This window comes from Homo sapiens, chromosome 3 (assembly GCF_000001405.40).
Source record: "Homo sapiens chromosome 3, GRCh38.p14 Primary Assembly".
Taxonomy (NCBI): domain Eukaryota; kingdom Metazoa; phylum Chordata; class Mammalia; order Primates; family Hominidae; genus Homo; species Homo sapiens.
The window spans coordinates 171943682-171962507 of NC_000003.12; the positions used below are offsets into that span (position 1 = coordinate 171943682).

At 40.5% G+C, this 18826-nt stretch overlaps 1 long non-coding RNA gene across 1 annotated transcript in view, besides 1 other annotated feature; it reads left to right on the plus strand.

Moving 5' to 3' along the window:
- LOC105374217 (uncharacterized) overlaps positions 1–18826 on the plus strand; it is a 44277-nt gene that overhangs the window by 4793 nt on the left and 20658 nt on the right. The window contains exons 2-3 of the long non-coding RNA XR_924718.4: positions 8240–8274; positions 15806–15907. This is a non-coding gene — a long non-coding RNA (uncharacterized LOC105374217). The remainder of the gene's footprint in view (positions 1–8239; positions 8275–15805; positions 15908–18826) is intronic.
- Positions 16865–17365: an enhancer, noted in NCBI's record as "H3K4me1 hESC enhancer chr3:171678336-171678836 (GRCh37/hg19 assembly coordinates)". NCBI's record gives its function as "activates a minimal SCP1, AML or CMV promoter by ChIP-STARR-seq in primed H9 embryonic stem cells {active_cell/tissue: H9 hESC(primed)}" and the evidence as "EXISTENCE:reporter gene assay evidence [ECO:0000049][PMID:30033119]".

Consider the following 18826-nt stretch of genomic DNA (forward strand, 5'->3'; position numbering starts at 1 on the left):
TTAGGATTACAGGCATGTGCCACCACGCCTGGCTACTTTCGTGTTTTTAGTAGAGATGGGGTTTCTCCAGGTTTCTCCATGTTGGTCAGGCTGGTCTTAAACTCCCAACCTCAGGTGATCTGCTCGCCTCGGACTCCCAAAGTGCCGAGATTACAGGCGTGAGCCTCCGCGCCCAGCCTGAGAAGAGAGTTTTAATCCTGCCTCTACCTAGGATAGCTGGTGACCCTTGAGTAAATGACTGAACTTCAGCTTCCTTATCTGTAAAAATGGCCATCATGTTATGTACCTTACAGCTTGTAAAGATTGAATAAGAATGTAAATACATGGGTCGTGACCAAGTAGAAGTTCAATCAAAATTATTTCCTTTTCCCTCAATTTTGAATATACAATATATAATTGCTTTAGAAAACAGATTTTGTTCCAAAAAACAAAATTCACTTAGCCTGTATGAATCCATTCAAAGTCTCATGACCCTTTTTCAAAGTAAATATTCCTGATATGTATTTGTTTTTATAGCAAATTAAGACTTTAAGATTTCCCTGAGGCAAAAACAAAACAATGGCCAAGTCAGATAAGAATACAGGAAGTATTATGCCTAGTCCCATAACCTATCCACTAATCCACTCAACCTTCTCCTTAGTGAAGTGATGTAATTGATGGGAGAAACATGGGCAATTCTGGAACTTTCCAATATAGCCAAGGGAAAAGGACCTGCAATAATGTAGTTTCATAAACCTAAGAAGATTTCTTTAATGTACTTGGGAGAAGATAATCGGAAATAAGCAGTAAACACCTAAAACCACATTTGCATAAGGTTTTACTGTTTCATTTTCTCATATAGTATGTAATTTGAGCCTCAAAAAATCTGATTTTTCAGGAAAGTCAGGTATGTTGCAAATGAGGAGACTGAGGCCCAAAGAGGTGAAGTGATTTCTTCACTCTACTACAAGTTATTGAGTAATAAAAAAGCCCTGCCCAAGATCGCCTGCTTTCACCATAATCTACGCTTTTGTTTTGCCAGGGGTGGGAGGTTAAGGTGGGGAGGGAGATGGGGGAAAGCAGGATAACGGTTTGTGTTCATGGGCAGTGAGCAGCAAAGAGGCTCTTAGAGTGGAATGCTTCCTCGGCTCAGAGAGTGGAATGCTTCTTTTGCCTTCCAGTCAACTCTGGCTTCAATGATTTAGTGCCTGTGTTCTCAGTGACATTTGTTGGGGTGGAGTTAAGTAAATCACGTTGAAGGGGGAACAAAATCTAACATGATTTATTTTTTAAATGTTTTGGAAAATTCACAAGTTTCATTTTTGGATTCACCCAATAGTTTTCTTGTTTTCAATATGCCTTTTTTCTGGCTCCAGTTCTCTCCTGTTTTCTCTATTGGCTTCTGATAATATTCCAATTTAAGGAAGTTTGACAGATTATTAAAACACTTACATGAAATTCAGATTTTTGTCCTGAATATTGTTTAATATTTATTGATACTTGGGAAGCATAAAGTCATTTTAATGAAGAACATATAAGGAATAGGATTAGCAGTTTATATTTTAAGTAAAATTCCTATTTTACTTATCACTATCACACATCATTTTGATTGGCTTTCTCTGCAGATAAAATGTGTCCTACTAAAATTAAAAGATAACTAAACTTTAGAAAGCAATACTTTAGAAGACTCAGCAGCATATGCTAAGAGGAGCCAGTTTATTTTATTTTATTTTTGAGGCTGAGTGTCTCTCTGTCGCCCAGGCTGGAGTGTAGTGGCACAATATCGGCTCACTGCAATCTCCTCCTTTCGGGTTCAAGCGATTCTCCTGCCTCAGCCTCCCAAGTAGCTAGGACTACAGGCATGCACCACCATGCCCAGTTAATTTTTCGAATTTTTAGTAGAGCCGAGATTTCACCGTGTTGGCCAGGCTGATCTCGAGCTCCTGACCTCAAGTGATCTGTCCTCCTCGGCCTCCCAAAGTGCTGGGATTACAGGCATGAGCCACCGCACCTAGCCTGGTTTATTTGACCTTTTATTACCCACGCATCTTTCATTGTTACTTTTATTTTCTTTTGAATGTTTTTGAATTTAAAAACTTTTAAATACATTTTTAATTTTTACGAATACATAGTAGTTATACATATTTATGGGGTACATGTGATATTTTGATACAAGTACAATGTGTAATGAGCAAATCAGGGTAATTGGGGTATCCATCACCTCAAACCTTTATCATTCATTCCTTGTGTTAGTTTAATCGTTACTTTTTTTTTTTTTTTTTTTTTTGAGACGGAGTCTCGGTCTGTCACCCAGGCTGGAGTGCAGTGGCGTGATCTCGACTCACTGCAAGCTCTGCCTCCCGGGTTCACGCCATTCTCCCGCCTCAGCCTCCCCAGTAGCTGGGACTACAGGCGCCCACCACCACGCCCAGCTAATTTTTTTTTTTTTTTTTTTTTTGTATTTTTAGTAGAGACGGGGTTTCACCGTGTTAGCCAGGATAGTCTCAACCTCCTGACCTCGTGATCCGCCTGCCTCGACCTCCCAAAGGTGTGAGCCACCACACCTGGCTAGTATAGCCATCTTAATGATATTGATTCTTTCTGTCCATGAGCATGGGATGTTTTTCCATTTGTTTGTGTCTTCTCCGATTTCTTTGAGCGGTGTTTTGTAATACTCATTGTAGAGATCTTTTACCTCCCTGGTTAGCTGTATTCCTAGGTATTTTATTCTTTGTGTGTCAATTTTGAATGAGATTGCCTTTCTGATTTGGCTCTTGGTTTGGCTGTTGTTGGTATATAGGAATGCTAGTGATTTTTTTTTTTTTTTTTTTTGAGACGGAGTCTCGCTCTGTCGCCCAGGCTGGAGTGCAGTGGCGGGATCTCGGCTCACTGCAAGCTCCGCCTCCTGGGTTCACGCCATTCTCCTGCCTCAGCCTCCCAAGTAGCTGGGACTACAGGCGCCCGCCACTGCGCCCGGCTAATTTTTTTGTATTTTTAGTAGAGACGGGGTTTCACCGTTTTAGCCGGGATGGTCTCGATCTCCTGACCTCGTGATCCGCCCGCCTCGGCCTCCCAAAGTGCTGGGATTACAGGCGTGAGCCACCGCGCCCGGCCGCTAGTGATTTTTGTACACTGATTTTGTATCCCAAAACTTTGCTGAAGTTTATATGCTGGAGGAGCTTTTGGGATGAGACTATGGGGTTTTCTATAATAGATACAGAATCATGCCATCTGCAAACAGAGATAGTTTGACTTCCTCACTTTCTATTTGGATATCCTTTTCTTTCTCTTGCCTGATTGCTCTTGGTAGGATGTCCAATGCTATGTTGAATAGGAGTGGTGAGAGAGAGCATCCTTTTCTTGTGCTGGTTTTCAAGGGGAATGCTTCCAGTTTTGCCCATTCAGTATAATGTTGGCTATAGCTTTGTCATAGACGACTTTTATTATTTTGAGGTATGTTCCTTAAATACCTAGTTTATTACGAGTTTTTCACTGAAGGGGTGTTGAATTTTATCAAAGCCTTTTCTGTCTCTGTTGAGATAATGACGTGGTTTTTGTCTTTAGTTCTATTTATGTGATGAATCACATTTATTGATTTGTGTATGTTGAACCAACCTTGCATCCCAGGAATAAAGCCTACTTAATCATGTTGTATTAGCTTTTTGATGTGCTGCTGGATTTGGTTTGCAAGTGTTTTTTTTTGTTTGTTTGCTTGAGGATTTTTGCATCGATGTTCATCAAGGATATTGGCCTGAAGTTTTCCTTTTTTGTTGTGCCTCTGCCAGGTTTTGGTACATAGATGATGCTGGCCTCATAGAATGAGTTGGGAAGGTGTCCTTCCTCCTCAATTTTTTGGAATAGTTTCTGTAGGAATGGTACTAGCTCTTCTTTGCACATCTGGTAGATTTCAGTTGTGAATTCATCAGGTCCCAGGCTTTTTTTGATTGGTAGGCTTTTTTTGATTGGTAGGCTTTTTATTACTTACTCAATTTCAGAGCTCATTATTGGTCTGTCGTTCATCCTGGCTCAATCTTGGGAGGGTGTATGTGTCCAGAAATACATCCATGTCTTCTAGGTTTTCTAGTTTGTGTGTATAGAGGTGTTCATAGTAGTTTCTGATGGTTGTTTTTATTTCTATGGGGTTGGTATAACATTCCCTCCATCATTTCTATTGTGTTTATTTGGATCTTCTTTCTTCTTTATTAGTCTAGCTAATGGCCTATTTTGTTAATTTTTTCAAAAAACAAACTCCTGGATTTATTGATCTTTTGAATGGGTTTTCGTGTCTCGATTTCCTTCAGTTCAGCTCTGATTTTTATTTCTCATCTTCTGCTAGCTTTGGGGTTGATTTGTTCTTGCTTCTCTAATTCTTTCAGTTGTGAAGTTAGATTGTGTTTTTGAGATCTTTCTAACTTTGTGATGTGGGCATTTAGTGCTCTGAATTTCCCCTTAACACTGCCTTAGCTGTGTCTCAGAGATTGTGGTATGTTGTATCTTTACTTTCATTATTTTCAAAGAACTTCTTGATTTCTGCCTTAATTTCAGCATTTACCCAAGAGTCGTTCAGGAGCGTGTTGTTTAATTTCTATGTAATTGCATGGTTTTGAGAGATTTTCTTAGTCTTGACTTCTATTTTTATTGTGTTGTGGTCTGAAAGTGTGTTTGGTATGATTTCAGTTATTTTACATAAAATAGTAAGTTTTTGTCCTCCACTATGTACTAAATTCCTGGAAGGCAGAAACCATATCTTGGTTATCTTTCTATATTGTTGTAATAACCAGCAGAGTCCTTTGCTTTTTAATAGCACTCAATAAACATTTGTGAATTCAGGCTTCTGGATGAAGTTATTCAGAGAATTTGATGAACTGACTACATTAGATAACAGAATTTATTAGATAAACAGATATTTTTCATCCAAATTCTCTGCTTTTCAGGGTCAAATATGAGACTGGGATGAAGAAACAATCCGTCTCTTTGAAAGCATGTAACTAGTCTTCTCACAGCTTTAAAGAGGAAAAAAATGTTAAACATTTTTTTCTTATAATGACAGCTCTGGCCCTATTCAAGAGGTCGCAGTTGTTACACAGCAATAAAACCTGGTCAGAAATTCGTAGGTGCCTACAGGGCAGCACATGTCAAAGCTTAAATCCCAAGCAGGTTATAAGTGTCATCACGTTGAATTTACATATGCAATGAAATTCCCTAAAATCACAAATATTACTCACTGGTAGAGTGAGTAATTTAAGCAAACTTGCCTTTCTCAAGAGCTTCAGATATCCACATAATGGAAGTGTGTATGCCTTCCCTGATTAAAACAACTGTTTTTGTGGCACCTTATGGTGCACCTCTTTTTCTTTTTTCTTTTTTTTTTTTTTTTTTGAGACAGAGTTTCACTCTTGTTGCCCAGGCTAGAGTGCAATGGCGCGATTTCGGCTCACTGCAATCTCCGCCTCCCGGGCTCAAGCGATCAGCCTCCGAAGTAGCTGAGATTACAGGCATATGCCACCACATCTGGCTAATTTTGTATTTTTAGTAGAGACGGTGTTTCACCACGTTGGTCAGGCTGGTCTCGAACTCCTGACCTCAAGTGATCCACCCACCTCGGCCTCCCAAAGTGCTGAGCTTACAGGCATGAGCCACCACACCTGGCTGGTGCACCTCTTTTCTAAATATGAAGCCAGGAGTGCAATATTCGCTTGGGTAACTTGTCTATTGCATTCAATACCTATCATGATCTGACAAAAATACCTGATTTCTTGAAACCAAGTACTACGAAGATTATATTTTGTAACAATACTGACCCTATAACCTTTATTTCCTTTTTTACTCAGTTTATTTCCCATCTATTTTGTCATCAATAATTGAATAACTTAATAAATAAAGTAGATTATCCAGACCTCAATAAATGTACATAACAAAACAAATTGTGCTGAGGACTACCCAGCTGTAACAAGCTATGTTTCTTATTAAGGGAAGAGCCACAGGTGGTGACAACTGAATCTAAGACTAAATACAGTGTGTTTTTAGAATCTGATGGAACCAGTGGTGTGCTGGTAAATGTTTAACAACTAGCTCTCTAAAGAAAGAAAAGAGCCCTGATTTATGGTGTTTGTTGATTTTCATGGTATACATACTCCCACCACAGCCATTTTCAAGCCGACAACATGAAATCAGAGTTGGAAAGAAATGCTACACTTGGCTCTCAGGACTCAATAGGAGCTAATCCCATCATATCACTTGGTAAAAGATTCACAAAATGGGGTCTCCTTTTCACAAAACTGCTAAAAATAAATTCGAAGTCTGATCTAATATAACGATTTACATACAGAAGAAAGGAATTCTGTGACAGATGTTGATATATAAAGCCCTCATAAAACAATAGGGATGGCATTTCAAAGGCTTTTGGAAAATAGGAAGTTCAAGACAACAGCTTTGGTGACAGAGGTGGATGTTACCATTATTTTCCTTCTTCCAGATGTCATCTAACGTATAATTTTTTTGAATTAACATTCATAAATCTTAAAAAGTAAAAATCTTTTACTTCAAATCTTAAAAAGTAAAAAAATGTGTTATTCAATATTATCAGGGAATAAGTATTTTACAGAAGCAATTTTTTTAACAAGTTCAATCCTCTGATCAAAAAATGTTTAAATATTTTTCTAATCATATCACACAAAATTTTAGGGAAAATGTAACAATTCTCTGACTTACACAATGCATAATGGATGTCATTACATTACTGGTTCTTCTTTTAGGACATTAAAAAAGATTTTGGACTGGTCTGTAAAACACTGCAGTGCACTGAGGAACTATTTAAATAAATTGAGCTGTGGGAGGCCCCCCTTCCCACTGTTGTGTTCTTGAGTATTTAGGTTGGCTTTTTATATTTCTCCCTTCCTTTCATCCTTTCTGCCTGCTGTGAGCTGTCACTTGCTGTCTGAGTCACAGCCTCTGGCTATTTCACTGCCTCCTCCCATTTCTAATTTGCTGCTTCTAACCTGCCAAGGGCTAGGAAACAAAGCAGTTAGCCCACCTTCTTTGCCTTATGTATAAGACAGACTCAGAGAGAGGGCCTTGGAGGCTTTCCTATGAGGAAAGGGCAACGATTTAAGTCCATCAAAGTTGACATCTAGTTTCCCATTGGAACTTAATCTGTACATTTCCTAAAACAAAGAAAACATACTAGTGTGCCCATGATCCTATGCAGTTGAACTTGGGGCTGAGATCTATATTGTTCACAAATTGACTAAGATATTACAATCGTCTCTCATCTTACAATACTTTGAAATATTGAGTGACTTTTTTCCTATCTCAGGACATCTCCAAGAATAGACTTGTCCCACTAATTAGAGTTGGATTCCTGACATGAAATCTGTTACCTTTGCTTCCTTCTATTCAGGGTTGTCTACTGCCTCTGACTTGTCATCTATAGTCACACAGAGAAAGACAACTCTGCTTAATAATTTGAGATCTCTCTGTCTCAGTCTTTTTCCCCACTTAGGTAAAATTTACATACAGAAATGCACACATCCTAAGTATACAATTTAATGAATTTTGATCAATGTACACACCTAAATATTCATCACTCCAATCATGATATAAACTTTTTTTTTTCTCAGATGGAGTCTTTCTTTGTCTCCCAGTCTGGGGTGCAGTGGCACGATCTAGTGGCACGATCACTGCAACCTCTGCCTCCTGGGTTCAAGTGATTCTCCTACCTCAGCCTTCCAAGTAGCTGGGACTACAAGCATGTACCACCATGCCCAGCTAATTTTTGTATTTTTAGTAGAGATAGGGTTTCACCATGTTGGCCAGGCTGGTCTTGAACTCTTGACCTCAGATCACCTCAAGTGATCTGCCCACCTCAGCCTCCCTCCCAAAGGGCTGGGATTACAGGTGTGAGCCACTGCACCCAGCCATGATAAAAACATTCTATCTATCAACCGAGAAAGTTCTCTGTGCCCCTTCCAGTCACTTTCCACCTCTCACAGGCAATCACTGTTCTAAACCTGTTCTCTGAATTTTGCCTCTGGTTTTTCTGGCTCAACATACAGTTTTTGGGATTTAGCCATCTTGTTCTTTGGATCAATGGTTCATTCCTTTTTATTGCTAAATACTTATCCAGTGTATAACATACCACAATTTGCATATCCATTCCATTGTTGATGGATACCTTTCCAGCTTAGAAGTAGTATGAATAATGCTCTGTAAACATTCTTATATAAATCTGTGTGTGAACATAAGTTTTTATTTCTTTTAGGTAAATATCTAGAAGATAACCTGCTGGATCATGAGGTAAGTGAATATTTAACTTTTTTTTTCTCAACATTTTGTTATGAAATTTTTCAAACATACAGAAAAAAAGAAAGGAACTGTACAATGGACAATTATTGTCCCAATACCCACCACCTAAATTCTACAAGTAGCATTTTGCTAATTTACTTTATCGTGTATCCATTCTCTCATTCATCCATCAACCCATCTTATTTTTTAATGCATTCCAAAGTAAGTTGTACCCATCAGTACACTTTACCCTTCAACACGCATATTACTGGCTGGGCACAGTTGCTCACGCCTTTAATCACAACATTTTGGGAGGTCGAGGCAGGTGGATCACTTGAGCTCAGGAATTTGAGACCAGCCTGGGCAACATGGCAAAACCTTGTCTCTACAAAAAATATAAAAATTAGCCAGGTGTGGTGGCACATGCCTGTAATCCCAGCTACTCGGGAGGCTGAGGTGGGAGGATGGCTTGAGCCTAGGGGGCAGAGATTGCAGTGAGCTGAAATCTCACTATTGTACTCCAACTTGGATGACAGAGTGAGACACTGTCAAAAAAAAAAAAAGCATATTACTAATGACAGCTCAATATTTGTTTACAGATTTTTTAGGTAAATATATATATTTGTTCATGTTGTTGTTAGGTTGTATGAATTCTTTATATATTCTGTCAGACATAAGTATTTAAATATTTTCTCCCATTCTGTGGCTTGCCTTTTCATTTTCTTAACAATGTCTTTTGATGAGCAGAAATTTTCATTTTGATGAAGTCCAATTTACTAATTTTTAATGGTTAATATTTTCTCTGTTTTATCTAAGAAACTGTTGCCAATTCCAAGATCACAAAGATATTTTTCATTTTCTTTTGGAGGCATTATATTTTTAGCCTTTACATTGAGTACACAGATTTTAAAAGCATTTTTTAAATTTATTTTTATTTTTTCCAGATTTTTTTAGGATATAATTGACAAGTAAAAAATGAATATATTTAAGGTGCACAATGCGATGTTTTGGTATACGTGGACATTGTGAAGTGGTTGCAACAATTAAGTTAAATAACATATCTGTCACCTCACATAGTTACCTTTGTGTGTGTGTGTGTGTGTTTGATGAGCATAAAATCTATCTGGCAGCAAAGGCATTTTCTAAAGTCCAGAAAATGCCACTAATATATGCATTAATAATATACAAAAAACCAGTAACTAACTTTATTATGTTAACTTATCTTTTCTTTTCTCTGTTGAACTATTTATTTACATACCTAAACTCTACTCAAACTGCTGTTGTAAAAAACAAGGAGGAATTAGTTTCTCTTCATCTCTAACACCAGAAGAAGATCCATTTTGTAGTCTTATTGCTCTGTTGAATGACTGTCTCCTGGTTTGTGGGCAGACTGGAAGCAGGAGTTCTCTCTGTTTTGGCCACAGTACCCAGGGATACATGCAGCGTACTCAGATACAGGATTGGTTAAGGCAGAGTGCTGAAAAGGTGTTGCTTGACTAGTCTGCCTACTTTGCATACGAGAATTTGGACTAAAATTGTCACTCTAAGTCTCCTGGATCAGCTATGAATCCTTAACAATAGTATCTCAAAATTCAGAACCTTATGAAGCTTTATTAATGATGACAGTACACTATGGAATGTGTTTGGTAAACAGAGAGGGAGAAATCACATTAAAATAGACAATATGTTTCTTCACCAAGGTCTCTAGCTTTCTTCACTGAGGAACTGTGAAAGGTTTTCACCAGTCACCAGTCTAAGGGAACTCCTCTCTTTCTCTCTCTCTCTCAGATTTTTCCCCCGTTTCCATCGTTCCATTGTCTATTGAACCTTTTCTCAGAATCCTGCACTAGTTAGTTAGTGCAGGAACAATTACTTCCTTGTGTTCAGTCATTTAACACCAACTGCGGAGAGAGCTCCGGCTCTCTGTGTGCAGGTGCTCAAAGCTCAGGGCTTTTGCTTTTTTTTTTTTGACTCTTCACCAAACCTCTTTTCCATAACTCTAGCTACTCTCGTTATTAATTTTACAGAGCAAAAGGAGACTCCTTGTTGTCTCCAGCACACTCCATACAATTCCTGCCATAGCAGCTTGGTTCTTGACCTATCCTGTAGGCTTCTTTAAGCTATGGCAGTGGGAAGAATTACGTACCTCACTTTAGCCTTTTGTTTTGTTTTGTTTTGTTTTTTTGTAGAGATGAGCTCTCGCTTTATAACCCGGGCTGGTCTTGAACTTCTGGCCTCAAGCAAGCATCCTGTCTCAGCCTCCCAAAGTGCTGACATTACAGGCATGAGCCACTCACTTTGGCCTTTGATAGAAGAAAACAGCTTCTAGATAGTCCAGATTTAACGTGAATTGAGAGAGCTGTGGGACTTTGTATTTTCTGGAGTGTCACTTTTCTTGCCTTCTTGATTCCTGAAGCTTTGCCTGTTGCTGTATTCCAGTTCAGTCCCTTAGTACACAGCTTGCATAGGCTACTATGATTTGCCTAAAATCAGAAAATACTTACATTTAAAATGTATATACATGCTTTTAAGAAATGCATTCTCAGTATGTTAAATAATCAGATGAACTAAAATGTTTACTTTTTAAACTGTTGTTTTGGCTTCTTACCACGTTGAAATGCTTATCATTTTAATTTATGCAAGTTAGTAACTCTCACTCCACAACCAGCTTACTCTAAAAATATGAACATTATACCAAAGTCAGTAAATGCAATAGTTTTTTTTTTTTTTGCATGAGAATTCTTGGAAAAACATTTTAATCACCTAAAATATCATTAATTTAAAACTAATTAGACTAAATAAGATTTGGCAAATTTCTGCCCTTCAGACAAATCGTTCATATTTTTCGTAATTTGTTCGTGCATGTTACCATGGAGACAGTGAAGTCAAAACACACCAGCTAGTGCATTGTTCAGCTCTGGACTTCCTACTATAGATTTGATTAAGTAATCTGGCCTGCTCATTTTGAGAATCTGAGAACATAGCATTGTCTCTTTAGTAAAAGCATGGTCAGCATTCAGACGTAATCAATAAGGCAATAAGAATTAGGTGTTACATGTAATCATTGCCCTTTTTTATGTGATAAAATAAGGAAAAGGTAAATCACTTACTTCAATCAGTTATTTATGTGGTAAATGCAATGCCTCTGATTCATTCCTCAGAGAAGTGGGCTTGATCTTATAAAAGGAATGAAAAAAAAAACTGCTTATTTGGTAAATGAGACAGGTGGCCTTTTTGACTAAAGCACCAAATAAGGCATTTTTGGGACTCATTTCCTTTGCAGATGCATTGAATATTATTCTCCATCTTCCTGCCTTACACAATACTTGGAACAATAGAAAAATGCACCTCTTTTTCAATGAAGCGTACTTGTCGTCTAATGATTTTGTCTTTACAAGCCCCTTTTATGACATGCTGTCTTGTAGAAATGTTACTTTCATCCTACTGGGCTTCGTCTAGAAGGTCAATATGGTTATGGTTTCTACATTCTGTTTCTTTTACTGTGAAAACTGGCAAAAAAAAAAAAAAAAAAAAAAAAAAGGCACTCCTATGCTTTGATTTAATCCACTTCCAGAAGGACAGATGTTATCAGTGGCCAGAAAAGGTAGGTTATGCGTATGTAAGGATCCCCTCCCCACCATTTCATAAGGACACAGAAAGAGAAATGTCTTAGGTGTGTTTTAAAAACAAAAATGAATTGTATGAATCACCGGAGAATAATCAGAAACCGTCCTATTCCAACCTTTATGCATCACCAACAAAACAAAATTGGTCATTTTTAAGAAATCTTCATTTTCTTTGAGTCTAAGCACACCTATGGAATTTTGAAGCTGACCAATAAGAGTGATTTGGCTTCCGAGCAAGGGTTTTATTCAGGAACAGGCAAATCACTCAAGCAGCTGAATAATTCCAGTGACTTGTATAAAAAAAATTCCTGCTGTAGCAAACAATGAAATTATTGCATTGCAAGTACAGAAAAGACTAACTCTTTAGGTTTTCCTACTTGACTCTATATGGAACATATTTCAATAATAGTTTGTTAATGTACTTCTTTCCAATAATTAAAATATGAATATTTAACCATATAATTACATTTCATCTCAGCAGAGAGATTTGCGGGTATAATTTCTACATAATTCTTAAAGTATGGACCAATCTTTGCGATTTCAGAAATGATCTCTCTCTCATAGCATTTAACTTGAAACATATACCAGATGTCTGTGGCATGCATCTAGGCATAGTTAATCTGTAAATACTACTTAGAGGGTGCGCCAATGGACAAAGAGCTATCACTTCAAATCTTACCAAATGGTCTGTTCGGGAGCACAGATACGGAGCAGGCTTCCTCCCCAAAAATGCTGGTTTGTAGGCGGAGCTTGGGGACTGTTTCCCTGCCTTGGGGAAGCCTTGGCCCTCCCCTCCAAGGAAAGCCAGGACAGATGGGCAGTGTATTTGACAAGGAACCCCTGCATCCTCGCTTCAACGCCCTTCTACTCTACTTTAAAAGCAGTACTGTATTTTTTAAGTGTTGTAACTGGCAGCTCTGCCGGCACTGGCTGCAGCTGAACAATCCTCCATTCAAATCAAGCCGCCCAAACCCAGATTCAGTGGAAAGTTGTGATGGAGCACACAGAGGGAGGCCTCTCTGCTCTCCACTGCGCGGAGGGTGAGGGTTATGTCAGGCGCCCCGAAGATTCCAGAGGGAAGAATTCGGCAGAGTTTTTATACAGCATCTATTATACCAGTTTCACAAGGAGGATTTACCAACTGGAAAGAGAAAAGTTTACCTTAGTTGGCTTCCTTTTGCTGGTGCCACCAGGGTCTGAGCCTCCCCAAATCTCCCTCAAGTAGGAGGCTTTAGTCTCTCTTCCTCGCTTGGAGGCCTCTACAACCATGCCAGATTTTGTAGCCCTGACATTTCTAAGTAAACATCAGCATAAAGTGTCCCTTATGAGGGAGCCAGTGCAGGGCTGGAGAGGAGAGATAAAGGAGCGTTTGCAAGCATGGTGAGGCAAGTTGCAGCAAGGCAAGAAGAGAAAGAAGAGTGAAAAGGGGAGAAGAAAAGATAGGTGGAATCTGCTAATGAGTTGAAGGCTTTTTCTTGGGCAAATGGCATCTGCTTAATTTTCTAGGAGCTGATGCATTACCTTCCCTTGATGTAAATTACCTTCTAACAACAACACATACACATACACCCCTCTCTTCATTAGCCCACACAAAGCTCAGTGTAGACCCTATATTAGCTTCCTAAGGCTGTCCTACCAAAAAATCAAAACCTAGGTGGCTTGAAACAAGAGAAGGTTGTTATCTTACAGTTTTGGAGACTAGAAGTGAGAAATCAAGGCATTGGCAAGGCCAGATTCTCTCTAGGGGCCAAGACTTTCTGGCCTCTTCTAGCTCTGGCGTTTCCCAGCATCCCTGGTGCTCCTTGGCCTGTGGATGCGTCGCTCCAATCACATGGCATCTTCTCCGTGTCCTCACCTCATCTTTACTGTGTGTGTGTCTGTCTCTGTGTCCAAATTTCTCCTTTTCATACAGACATCAGTCATATAGGATTAGGACCTATACTAACGACCTCATTTTAACTTGATTATCTCTGTAATGACCCTATTTCCAAATAAGGTCACATTCTGAGGTAACAGAGGGTTAGGACTTCAATGTATCTTTCTTGGGTGATATAATTCAACCCATAACAGACCCCTATTTGGAAAGCACTTCCCACTGCTCTGTGCTTACCTCCTCAAAAGTAGCCCACTGCAACACAGGAAGGAAAAGGAACTTCTCAAGGGAGATGAAGCTCTAGATCGGACTACAGTAGTAGAAAAACAGGATAAGACTAGTTTCTCTAGCCCCCAGAAGTATGTAGAAAAAAGGTATCAGGGAGATATTGATCGCTCATCTGTTGAGGACTCACTATGTACCAGGTCTATGCTGGGTACTTTCATAATCATGAGGTGTCTAAAAGCTGGATCAGACAGTTCCTTTTAAATTTGCCTTTTTTGGCTGAGTGCGGTGCCTCACACCTGTAATCCCAACACTTTGGGAGGCCGAGGTGGGTGGATTACGAGGTCAGGAGTTCGAGACCAGCCTGGTCAACATAGTGAAACCCCATCTCTACTAAAAACACAAAACTTAGCCGGGTGTGGTGGCACGTGCCTACTGTAGTCCCAACTACTCGGGAGGCTGAGGCAGGAAAATCACTTGAACCCGGGAGGCGGAGGTTGCAGTGAGCCGAGACCACATCATTCCACTCTAGCCTGGGTGACAGAGTGAGACTTTGTCTAAAAATAAATAAATAAAATGAAATAAATTTTTTGAAAATTGCCTTTTTCTCAAACCCCTGCTGAAGTCCCTGTGAATAGTCCCTAAGAAATAGCATCACCTAGACCAAATCCTCAATTTTATAGATGAAGAAACTGAGAGTTAGGCTAATTAATCTCTCCAATGATGCACAACTAGTTAGTGTCAGAACTAGGGCTAGAATCCCATTTTATTGATGCCCACTCTGGCAGTTTTTGTTTCAATGTGGCCTGCGTATTTGACTTTCTGACATATTTGCAAAAGGGAAATAAATTGAACTTTGGTTAACCCCTATAAGCAGAGCAAAGAAGAGGGCTGGCAGACCCTGCCTGGAACTCTTCCTTGATTTACACCATTTTCCAGTTATTTTCCGCCAAAACTGGAATAGATTGCACATGAGTAGAGAGTAATCTGTATGTTACGCACCAAAGTAGCTCTGCCCTTACCAGAGCCTGTGCAGAAAATGGGAATTCAGAGAGAAACGGATATAGCCCCTGCCTTCAAGGAGTTCAGAGACTTGTGGAAGATGTGGACATATGAGAAATTAAATTCACTCTATTTTTATTTATTTATTTGAGATGGAGTCTTGCTCTTGTCACCCAGCCTGGAGTGCAATGGTGCAATCTCAGCTCACTGCAGCCTCCGCCTCCTGGGTTCAAGCGATTCTCCTGCCTCAGCCTCCTGAGTAGCTGGGACTACAGATGCCCGCCATACGCCTGGCTAATTTTTGTATTTTTAGTAGAGACAGGGTTTCACCGTGTTAGCCGGGCTGGTCTCAAACTCCTAACCTCAAGTGATCTGCCCGCCTTAGCCTCGCAAAGTACTAGGAGGATTACAGGCATGAGCCACCGCACCTGGCCTAAACTCACTCTAATGGAATACACATCACAATGCAGATTTTAAACAAGCACAGGAGGGATTTAGGGATGGCTGGCAGCTGAATGTGTCTCAAGATTAGTTTACAAGGCACTTACAGTGGAGGGGTCAGTCCAGGAAGGGAGCCTGTGTTGTGTACCCCATGTAACGTGCTGGAAGCCCACAACAGTTTGTAACAGCTACACTGTCAGGTCCTTAGGACAAACGACTCATAAGTATCAAGAAATGAGAGAGATTAGGCTAGAGCCAGTTTCTTAAGAATCTTGTGTGCTAGACTAAGTAATTTAGGCTTTGTCTTATGGGTAATAAAGGCCCAAAGTTGGTTTTAAGGAAAGAGAGTGACAGGAATTGTATTTCTTTTTCATAGGAGATAGAGATTGCATCTGACTGGGACTAAGCAACCCTCGGAAGCACCAAACCTCACCTCCCTTCTCAACACCTGACTCCGGCCTAGGGCCTTCCCACTGAGGTAACTGATGTCAGATGACACCCCCAAAACCCAACCAGGCTCCAGATTACACCCTAGGGCTTCCCAGAAGAGCAGGGCTCCTGAGTGCGAGCTGGAAAACTAGTTTACCTGTGGGAAAATCCAGCTCCAGTACCACAGAGAAAAGCCCCTGACAAATTGCTGAGAGTCAGCAGGAGGGAGGACCTGACATTTCAGAAAACACTTTTCCTCTCTCTTTGTCCTTCCCGGTGTGTGTCGTTAATTGCGAGGCTGTCTCCATAGCAAAGTCCAAAAAGCACCTTGGCATGTGTGTGGGAGTGTTATCTGGCAGAGCTGTGTCAAGCCATAGGTACATTTTGAGTTTGATACCCAAGTAAACTTTCCGTGGTTCATGCCGCCCTCCCCAAAGGTTAAAAGTAATAAGACCGTCTTTGTGCCTTCGCGGTCTGACTTTTCACAGGCTATTATGAAGAGGGTTGGGTGGGGGTAGAATGTATCCATATAATTTGCATGTTAATGTTTGTTCTATAAATATCCACTGAGAAAGGAAAAAACCACACTTCAAAATATGCTTCAAGAGAACATTTCAGTTTTTATGATCCAAGTGCCAAGAAGTAAGAAAAAAAGAAATCAACTCATTTTTCATTAATTTATTACAAGTTTCAGATATCGATAGTTATATTCAGAGTTTCAGTTACAACATCATAATTACATGCTTTTAAAACTCTGAATACAATAAGGAAGTTCAAGAAGAGATTCCTTTAACAGTTTCTATTTCTTCCCTTCCTTCCCTCAACAAACACGTCTCAACCACTTGAGTTAGCTGCAGGCTCACCAGGCCCCAGACTGTGCAGGATTCTAGGGCTGCTCAACATGGAGCACCTCACCTGCAGGAGCCTAAATAAAGTTGGCAAGTGCCCATCAATCCTTTTCATAAGAAAAGCAAAGGGAGGCCGGGTGCAGTGGCTCACGCCTGTAATCCCATCACTTTAGGAGGCCGAGGCAGGCAGATCACGAGGTCAGGAGTTTGAGACCAGCCTGGTCAAAATGGCAAAACACCATCTCTACTAAAAATACAAAAATTAGCCGGGCATGGTGACGGGCGCCTGTAATCCCAGCTACTTGGGAGGCTGAGGCAGGAGAATCTCTTGAACCGGGGAGGCAGAGGTTGCAGTGAGCCGAGATCGTGCCGCTGCACTCCAGGCTGGCCGACAAGAGCAAGACTCTGTCTCAAAAAAAAAAGAAAGAAAGAAAAGAAAGAGAAAGGAAGGAAGGAAGGAAAGAAGAGAAAAGGGAACCATATTGCAGTGACCACATTCATCAGGAATATTCGGGGATCCGTGGATCAGGATATGAAGCTTTTCTCCTAAAGGGGACAACAGAAAATTCGTCTTGAGGAAAATAGTGTGGGGAGTAGGAGTTTGGCTTCTGTCCTCTAAAACTTGCCTGAGAGGGTGGACCTCATGGGCGTTTCCACAGGGTGGCTTATGGGGCTTTGCTGTTACCTGCTGAATCACCCTCCCACATCCTGGCCTGCCTGCCTGTTCCCCGCCGGGAGTGTCTGCCGGTGACCACACTTACTCAGGGAAAGATGAAGTCACCACCTGCATGAGTTTCAGGATGGCCAGAGAATGGCCCCTTCAGATAGACTGGAGCCACCCTGGGGAGGTAGGGAGGCTACCTTTTTCTGTGTACTTAACCTAACCATTTGGGAAAATCCTGAATATGACTTGGAAGTTCTTCACAGCTTTCTTCACAATTTCCATTCCCTTAATGTCTTGTGAAAAGAGAACTTCATGTTTCTCTCTATATTAAACGTGTGTGTGTGTGTGTGTGTGTGTGTGTGTGTGTGTGTGTGTGTTTGCGCACACTGGGGTAGGGGAGTTAACCCCTAAGCTTTAAAAATAACAACAATAAAAATTACAGTGAGAGTGAAAGCTACTGGGAAGCATAGGTTAGAAAATCTGGATTCTGGGTTCAGTGTTGACCTTGTGTGACCTGGAAAACACCAGTTGACCTCTGTGAGATGCTTTTCTTCATGGGGATGTGGCATCAGTCTATGGGGACATGCATAGTTGGTATGCATAATGAAAAGGAGAAAGGTGACCTAAAACATTTTTTGGTAGCAAATACAGAAATGAACTGGGGGAAAGCAGAGACTGGGAGGAAAGGGGAATCAGGACATGGCTTGAAGAAGAGTGTGCACAATAAAAAGAACCATCAGCACAGAATCAAAGGTAGAATGATGCCCAACACAGTTTTGTCCCAGCTTGATCCAGAACAAGAATAAACAGTCTTCTGCTGCTGCTAGATCAAAGCATCAGAAGAAAACACTGCAATTTCGGCCTAATGCAGTGGTTCATGCCTGTAATCCCAGCACTTTGGGAGGCCGAGGCGGGCGAATCACCTGAGGTTGGGAGTTCGTGACCAGCCTGACCAACATGGTGAAACTCCGTGCCTACTAAAAATACAAAAATTAGCCAGGCGTGGTGGTGCGTGCCTGTAATCCCAGCTACTCGGGAGGCTAAGGCAGCAGAATCACTTAAACCCGGGAGGCGGAGGTTGCAGTGAGTCCAGATTGCGCCACTGCACTCCAGCCTGGGTGACACAGTGAGACTCCATCTCAAAAAAAAAAAAAAAGACAAGAAAAAAGAAAAAACAGTACTTTGGAATAGAAAATGATTTGTTGGAATGAACATATCCAGCAGGATGACATGGTAACATCTTTTTAAAGGCCGTATTGACACAGAATCACTCAAGCAAGTTGACTCTTCCATTCTGGCAGATTCATTTGGAGAGAATGCATGTCAATCCAATGCCTACACTAACTCACAGGGTCCTTTTAACTAAAGATATTTATGTATGTTGGATTTTCAACCCAAGAAGCATGCAGAAGTGATGAGCTTGCTTTTCTTTCTGCCTGTTTCAGAGCAACGTGCG